Source organism: Homo sapiens, chromosome 2 (genome assembly GCF_000001405.40).
Source record: "Homo sapiens chromosome 2, GRCh38.p14 Primary Assembly".
Classification (NCBI taxonomy): Eukaryota; Metazoa; Chordata; class Mammalia; order Primates; family Hominidae; genus Homo; species Homo sapiens.
In genome coordinates, this window is record NC_000002.12 from 142,610,361 (window position 1) to 142,619,261 (window position 8,901).

At 41.2% G+C, this 8,901-nt stretch overlaps 1 annotated feature.

The window, feature by feature from the left end:
- Positions 2,559 to 3,135: an enhancer, noted in NCBI's record as "H3K27ac-H3K4me1 hESC enhancer chr2:143370488-143371064 (GRCh37/hg19 assembly coordinates)". NCBI's record gives its function as "activates a minimal SCP1, AML or CMV promoter by ChIP-STARR-seq in primed H9 embryonic stem cells {active_cell/tissue: H9 hESC(primed)}" and the evidence as "EXISTENCE:reporter gene assay evidence [ECO:0000049][PMID:30033119]".

The following is an 8,901-nucleotide window of genomic DNA, read 5'->3' on the forward strand; positions in this document are numbered from 1 at the left end:
CCAGTTCCTCCTTGTACCTCTGGTAGAATTCGGCTGTGAATCCATCTGGTCCTGGACTCTTTTTGGTTGGTAAACTATTGATTATTGCCACAATTTCAGCTCCTGTTATTGGTCTATTCAGAGATTCAACTTCTTCCTGGTTTAGTCTTGGGAGAGTGTATGTGTCGAGGAATTTATCCATTTCTTCTAGATTTTCTCGTTTATTTGCGTAGAGGTGTTTGTAGTATTCTCTGATGGTAGTTTGTATTTCTGTGGGATCGGTGATGATATCCCCTTTATCATTTTTTATTGTGTCTATTTGATTCTTCTCTCTTTTTTTCTTTATTAGTCTTGCTAGCTGTCTATCAATTTTGTTGATCCTTTCAAAAAACCAGCTCCTGGATTCATTAATTTTTTGAAAGGTGTTTTGTGTCTCTATTTCCTTCAGTTCTGCTCTGATTTTAGTTATTTCTTGCCTTCTGCTAGCTTTTGAATATGTTTGCTCTTGCTTTTCTAGTTCTTTTAATTGTGATGTTAGGGTGTCAATTTTGGATCTTTCCTGCTTTCTATTGTAGGCATTTAGTGCTATAAATTTCCCTCTACACACTGCTTTGAATGCGTCCCAGAGATTCTGGTATATTGTGTCTTTGTTCTCGTTGGTTTCAAAGAACATCTTTATTTCTGCCTTCATTTCATTATGTATCCAGTAGTCATTCAGGAGCAGGTTGTTCAGTTTCCATGTAGTTGAGCGGTTTTGAGTGAGATTCTTAATCCTGAGTTCTAGTTTGATTGCACTGTGGTCTGAGAGATAGTTTGTTATAATCTCTGTTCTTTTACATTTGCTGAGGAGAGCTTTACTTCCAAGTATGTGGTCAATTTTGGAATAGGTGTGGTGTGGTGCTGAAAAAAAATGTATATTCTGTTGATTTGGGGTGGAGAGTTCTGTAGATGTCTATTAGGTCTGCTTGGTGCAGAGCTGAGTTCAATTCCTGGGTATCCTTGTTGACTTTCTGTCTCGTTGATCTGTCTAATGTTGACAGTGGGGTGTTAAAGTCTCCCATTACTAATGTGTGGGAGTCTAAGTCTCTTTGTAGGTCACTTAGGACTTGCTTTATGAATCTGGGTGCTCCTGTATTGGGTGCATATATATTTAGGATAGTTAGCTCTTCTTGTTGAATTGATCCCTTTACCATTATGTAATGGCCTTCTTTGTCTCTTTTGATCTTTGTTGGTTTAAAGTCTGTTTTATCAGAGACTAGGATTGCAACCCCTGCCTTTTTTTGTTTTCCATTTGCTTGGTAGATCTTCCTCCATCCTTTTATTTTGAGTCTATGTGTGTCTCTGCATGTGAGATGGGTTTCCTGAATACAGCACACTGATGGGTCTTGACTCTTTATCCAATATGCCAGTCTGTGTCTTTTCACTGGAGCATTTAGTCCATTTACATTTAAAGTTAATATTGTTATGTGTGAATTTGATCCTGTCATTATGATGTTAGCTGGTGATTTTGCTTGTTAGTTGATGCAGTTTCTTCCTGGTCTCGATGGTCTTTACATTTTGGCATGATTTTGCAGCGGCTGGTACCGGATGTTCCTTTCCATGTTTAGCGCTTCCTTCAGGAGCTCTTTTAGGGCAGGCCTGGTGGTGACAAAATCTCTCAGCATTTGCTTGTCTGTAAAGTATTTTATTTCTCCTTCCCTTATGAAGCTTAGTTTGGCTGGATATGAAATTCTGGGTTGAAAATTCTTTTCTTTGAGAATGTTGAATATTGGCCCCCACTCTCTTCTGGCTTGTAGGGTTTCTGCCGAGAGATCCGCTGTTAGTCTGATGGGCTTCCCTTTGAGGGTAACCCGACCTTTCTCTCTGGCTGCCCTTAACATTTTTTCCTTCATTTCAACTTTGGTGAATCTGACAATTATGTGTCTTGGAGTTGCTCTTCTCGAGGAGTATCTTTGTGGCGTTCTCTGTATTTCCTGAATCTGAACGTTGGCCTGCCTTGCTAGATTGGGGAAGTTCTCCTGGATAATATCCTGCAGAGTGTTTTCCAACTTGGTTCCATGCTCCCCATCACTTTCAGGTACACCAATCAGATGTAGATTTGGTCTTTTCACATAGTCCCATATTTCTTGGAGGCTTTGCTCGTTTCTTTTTATTCTTTTTTCTCTAAACTTCCCTTCTTGCTTCATTTCATTCACTTCATCTTCCATTGCTGATACCCTTTCTTCCAGTTGATCGCACCGGCTCCTGAGGCTTCAGCATTCTTCACGTAGTTCTCGAGCCTTGGTTTTCAGCTCCATCAGCTCCTTTAAGCACTTCTCTGTATTGGTTATTCTAGTTATACAATCTTCTAAATTTTTTTCAAAGTTTTCAACTTCTTTGCCTTTGGTTTGAATGTCCTCCCGTAGCTCAGAGTAATTTGATCGTCTGAAGCCTTCTTCTCTCAGCTCGTCAAAGTCATTCGCCATCCAGCTTTGTTCCGTTGCTGGTGAGGAACTGCGTTCCTTTGGAGGAGGAGAGGCGCTCTGCGTTTTAGAGTTTCCAGTTTTTCTGTTCTGTTTTTTCCCCATCTTTGTGGTTTTATCTACTTTTGGTCTTTGATGATGGTGATGTACAGATGGGTTTTTGGTGTGGATGTCCTTTCTGTTTGTTAGTTTTCCTTCTAACAGACAGGACCCTCAGCTGCAGGTCCGTTGGAATACCCTGCCGTGTGAGGTGTCAGTGTGCCCCTGCTGGGGGGTGCCTCCCAGTTAGGCTGCTCGGGGGTCAGGGGTCAGGGACCCACTTGAGGAGGCAGTCTGCCTGTTCTCAGATCTCCAGCTGTGTGCTGGGAGAACCACTGCTCTCTTCAAAGCTGTCAGACAGGGACATTTAAGTCTGCAGAGGTTACTGCTGTCTTTTTGTTTGTCTGTGCCCTGCCCACAGAGGTGGAGCCTACAGAGGCAGGCAGGCCTCCCTGGGCTGTGGTGGGCTCCACTCAGTTCTCACATCCCCGCTGCTTTGTTTACCTAAGCAAGCCTGGGCAATGGCGGGCACCCCTCCCCCAGCCTCGCCGCCGCCTTGCAGTTTGATCTCAGACTGCTGTGCTAGCAATCAGCGAGACTCCGTGGGCGTAGGACCCTCCAAGCCAGGTGCCGGATATAATCTCATGGTGCGCCGTTTTTTAAGCCGGTCAGAAAAGCGCAATATTCGGGTGGGAGTGACCCAATTTTCCAGGTGCGTCCGTCACCCCTTTCTTTGACTCGGAAAGGGAACTCCCTGACCCCTTGCGCTTCCCAAGTGAGGCAATGCCTCGCCCTGTTTTGGCTCGCACACGGTGCGTGCACCCACTGACCTGCGCCCACTGTCTGGCACTCCCTAGTGAGATGAACCCGGTACCTGAGACGGAAATGCAGAAATCACCCGTCTTCTGCATCGCTCACGCTGGGAGCTGTAGACCGGAGCTGTTCCTATTCGGCCATCTTGGCTCCTCTCTCCTATATAACTTAAAGTAATTACAGTGATAAGAACCTAAAGAGACTACAGTTGAGCTTCGGGTTGCAGAGAACAATTGAGATTCTTCTCTAGTGTAATTAAACACATAACTCTCTTTTATGTGAACAGGATTCATTGAGTTCAAAATTCCTTATTTGCTCCCATAAAAATTTGTGATTCATGATTTTGTTCCAGCAGAAATGCTACATAGAGGAAGAGGCAGATGTCAGGGAAATCTGTGTACGTCCTGTGAATTGTAGCCTTTGGAGTGAGTACTTGAAAAGAAAAAAAAACTGGTTTTGATTAGAGAACCATGGGGAAAAAGGTCCCTTCTGCAATGATGCAAATAGGTTATCTAATGTTTTAATTATTAAATGACTGAAAATTTGCTGCTGGAATGTTTACACCTAGCTAAGAGGATGCTGAACTAAATAATGCACACCACTTTGGTGTGAGTCTTTAAAAATTATTGTTGATAAACAGATTGAATCAAAATAACTGATACTTAGAAGTTGTAAATTGCTTCTGCTCATGATGCTGCAAAGGTGTTCAATAGAAATGAAATTAATAAGACCTACATTACAGAACTTATCTCAGCATTTAATCAATGTGCTGAGTACCTACAGTATATAATAACAAGACAGTAGGCATTTTCAAATATTGAAAATACAAAAAATGTACCTTAATCTTACCTTCAAAATTGTACAATTTATCCAGGTTTATATTAATACTTGTAAAACATGTAGAAAACAATATAAAAACTCTTCCTACATAGAAATACTATAGGAATTTGAAAGAAAAGATTTATAGGGTGTAACTTGGGAAAGCTTTATGAGGAGATGAGACCTTTAATTAGTTGTGAGTTTTACATAAAAATGTGGACAAAGTCAAACATTTTTAAGTCTTGGTTTTATTTCTGGAGTTTGTACTTACATTCACATTTCTAAGAGTCTTTCAGAAATGTACAATTTGGAGTACCAATTGACTCTAAGAGATTCTTGAATCAAGCATTACAAAGTATAAATTGTGAGCCAACAGATTTAATGAAGAATAAATAATTATTCGAGGTCAACCAAAAAAGTTAGAATAAGTTAATGGACGAGTGGCAAGAACAGAAAACAATATAACAGAAGTGAAATTCATAATTCCAAGATACATCAAGTAGTATTACTCTAAGACCAAATTCCAATTACAGGATAAATTAAATACTCTAAATATGCAAAGAAAGAAAGGCAAACAAAACAGTAAGAAGAGAAATTTAAAACATTAATAAAAATTTTATTTTACTTGTTATTTTTTATTTTTTGAGACAGTTTCACTCTGTCACCCAGGCTGGAGTGCAGTGGCAAAATCATAGTTCACTGCAGCCTTAATCTCCCCAGCTCAAGCAATCCTCCTGCTGCAGCCTCCTGAGTAGCTGGAACTGTAGGTGAATGTCACCGTACCTGGGTAATTATTTTATTTTGTGTAGACACATGGTCTCACTTTGTTGCCAAGGCTGAACTCGAGGGCTCAAGCAATTCTCCTGCCTTGACCTCTGAAAGTACTGGGATTATAGGTGTGAGCCACCATGCCCCACCAAATATATTTTAAAAAGCAAATCCAAGGAGGAGCCAAGATGACCAAATAGAAACAGCTCCAGTCTGCAGCTCCGAGCAAGACCAATGCAGAAGGTGGGTGATTTCTGCATTTCCAACTGAGGTACGCAGTTCATCTCATTGGGACTGGTTAGTCAGTGGGTGCAATTCACACAGAGCAAGCAGAAGCAATGTGGAGCGTCATTTCACCTGGCAAGTGCAAGGAGCCAAGGGACCACCCTCCCCCATCCAAGTGAAGCCGTGAGGGACTGTGCTACCTGTCCGGGTACTATGCTTTTCCCATGGATTTTTGCAATACGCAGGTCCGGAGATTCCCTCCTGAGCCTACACCACCAGGGCCCTGGATTTCAAGCACAAAACTGGGCAGTTGTTCAGGAAGACACCGAGCTAGCTGCAGAAGTTTTTTTTTTCGTACCCCAGTGGTATCTGGAACCCCAGTGAGACAGGAGAACTGTCCACTCCCCTGGAAAGGAGGCTGAAGCCAGGGAGCCAATCCCACTCCCATGGAGCCCAGCAAGCAAAGATCCACTGGTTTGAAATTCTCACTCCCAACACAGCAGTCTGGAGTCGACCCGGGAAGATACAGCTTGGTGCGGGAAGGGGCATCCGCCGTTACTGAGGCTTGAGTAGGCGGTTTTCCCCTGACAGCACTAAGGAGACTGGGTGGTTTGGACTGGGCAGAAGTAACCACAGTGCGGCAAAGCGGCTGTGGCCTGACTGCCTCTCTAGATTCCTCCTCATGGGGAAGGAATCTCTGAAGGAAAGACAGCAGCCCCAGTCAGGGGCTTACAGGTAAAACTCCCATCTCCCTAGGACAGAGTACCTGGGAAGGGGCAGCTGTGGACACAGCTTAAGCGGACTTATCTTTCCTCCCTGCCAGCTCTGAAGAGAGCAGCTGATCCTGACAAGGGGGATTCCCCCACACAGCACACCAGCACTGCTAAGGGACAGACTGCCTCCTCAAGTGGGTCTCTGACTCCTGTGCCACCTGACTGGGAGAGACCTCCCAACAGGGGTCGACAGATACCTCATACATTAGAGGTCTGGCTGGCATCAGGCCGGTGCCCCTCTGCGACGAAGCTTCCAGAGGAAGGAGCAAGCAGCAATCTTTGCTGTTCTGCAGGCTTTACTGGTGATAACCAGGCAAAGAGGGTCTGGAGTGGACCTCCAGCAAACTGCAGCAGACCTGCAGAAGAGGGACCTGACTGTTCGAAGAAAAACTAGCAAACAGAAAGCAAAAACAACAACATCAACAAAAAAGACCCCATACACAAAAACCACATCCAAAGACCATCAGCCTCAAAGATCAAAAGTAGATAAATCCAAAAATATGATGAAAAATCAGCTCAAAAAAATCGCTGAAAATTCCAAAAGTTGAATACCTCTTGTCCTCCAAATGATCACAACACTGCTCCAGCAAGAGTGCAAAACTGGATGGAGAATGAGATTGATGAATTGACAGAAGCAGGCTTCAGAAGGTAGCTAATAGCAAACTCCTCTGAGTTAAAGGAGCATGTTCTAACCCAATGCAAGGAAGCTAAGAACCTCGAAAAAAGGTTACAGGAACTGCTAACTAGAATAACCAGTTTAGAAAGGAACATAAATGACCTGATGGAGCCGAAAAACACGGCAAGAGAACTTTATGAAGCATACAGAAGTATCAATAGCCGAATCAATCAAGCAGAAGAAAAGATACCAGAAATTGAAGACCACTTTGCTGAAATAAAGTGTGAAGACAAGATTAGAGAAAAAAGAATGAAAAGGAACAAACAAAGCCTACAGGAAATATGGTACTATGTGAAAAGACCAAATCTGCAATTGATTGGTGTACCTGAAAGTGATGGGGAGAATGGGACCAAGTTGGAAAGCATACTTCAGGATATTATCCAAAAGAACTTCCCCAACCTAGCAAGACAGGTCAATATTCAAATTCAAGAACTACAGAGAACACCACTAAGTTAATCCACAAGAAGATCAACCCCAAGACACATAATCATCAGATTCTCCAAGGTTGAAATGAAGGAAAAAAATGTTAAGGGCAGCCAGAGAGAAAGGTCAGGTCACCCACAGAGAAGCCCATCAGAATAACAGTGTATCTCTCTGCAGAAACCCTAAAAGCCAGAAGAGAGTGGGGACCAATATTCAACATTATTATAGAAAAGAATTTTCATTCCAGAATTTCATATCCAGCCAAAGTAAGCTTCATAAGTGAAGGAGAAATACAATCCTGTCCAGACAAGCAAATGCTGAGGAATTATGTCATCACCAGGCCTGCCTTGAAAGAGCTCCTGAAGGAAGCACTAAATACGAAAAGGAAAAACTGGTACCAGCCACTGCAAAAACACACCAAAATATAAAGACCAATGACACTGTGAAGAAACTGCAACAACTAATATGCAAAATTACCAGCTAGCATCCTGATGACAGGATCAACTTCACACATAACAATATTAACCTTAAAGGTAAACGGGCTAAATGCCCCAATTAAAAGACACAAACTGGCAAATTGAATGAAGAGTCAAGACCCATCAGTGTGCCGTATTTAGGATACCCATCTCAGGTGCAAAGACAAACATAGGCTCAAAATAAAGGGATGGAGGAATATTTACCAAGCAAAAAAAAAAAAAAAAAAAAAAGCCATCATTCTCAATGAACTAACACAGGAACAGAAAACCAAACACTGCAAGTTCTCACTCATAAGTGGGAGTTCAACAATGAGGACACATGGACACAGGGAGGGAATCATCACATACCAGGGCCTGTCAGGGAATGGGGTGCAAGGGGAGGGAAAGCATTAGGACAAATACCTAAGGCATGCAGGGCTTAAAGCCTAGATGACAGGTTGATAGGTGCAGCAAACCACCACAGCACATGTATACCTATGTAACAAACCTGCATGTTCTGCACATGTATCCTGGAACTTAAAGTAAAATTTAAAAAATAAAGATGGACAAAGGGCAGTAGACAGTTAGTTAGCAAAAATAAAATACACATTGTCAATAAACTGAATCAAATCCAAAAGATATATTTTTACTTCTGAAAAGAAGTAAATGTGGCAATAAAATATACAGAAGACTTCATCGTTGCTAATAAAACTATATAATCTGTCCACAGAGCAATTATCTAATGATATAAACAAAGCTATTTATTTTAACAGAAATTTTCTAACTTGATTTTTTTAATTTTAAGAAAATGACCCTATATATCTATGAAGAAAGAGTTTACTTACGTTTGGACATAATATACATGGTATCGTAAAATAAGTATTTTGCAAAAGAATACTCATTTTGACACATAGCTAAGTTTGGCAGAATGCTTCATGAGCCTTCATTTTCTTATAAGGTGTCATAGTTTTCTCTCTGTTAAACTTAAAAAAAATAAAGATAATGGATTCTTCAATGAAAAATGTAATGCTTATTTATCCTATCTTTGTTTTAAAATAAAAAGTTAAAATTCTTCTAATGGGAAGATCTCAACATAGCAAGGTCAAACAATAAATACCCTTAGGACACATAGAATAACCACAGAATAAATTCATAGCCCATGGAATAAAAGTAAGCAGTTAAAGATATCTAAAGTTATCTGATTTTATGAAAGGCTCAGAAAACAAAGAAATTATTCTGTGTACTTAGTCATTTGGGAGTTTGTGTAATAACATATATTTTGGCTAGTGGTAATCAATTACATGCCTGCATATGGAAATAACAATTGCTTCAAATTTCTGGTCAAGAAAGATATTAGAATCTTGCAGAGCAGATGAAAATGTAACTCAATAGGTTACAAGTGTTGCAAAAAATGGAGTTGTCACAGTTCAATTACTTATACTCATTTTCGGGGCTGGAAAATGCAATAA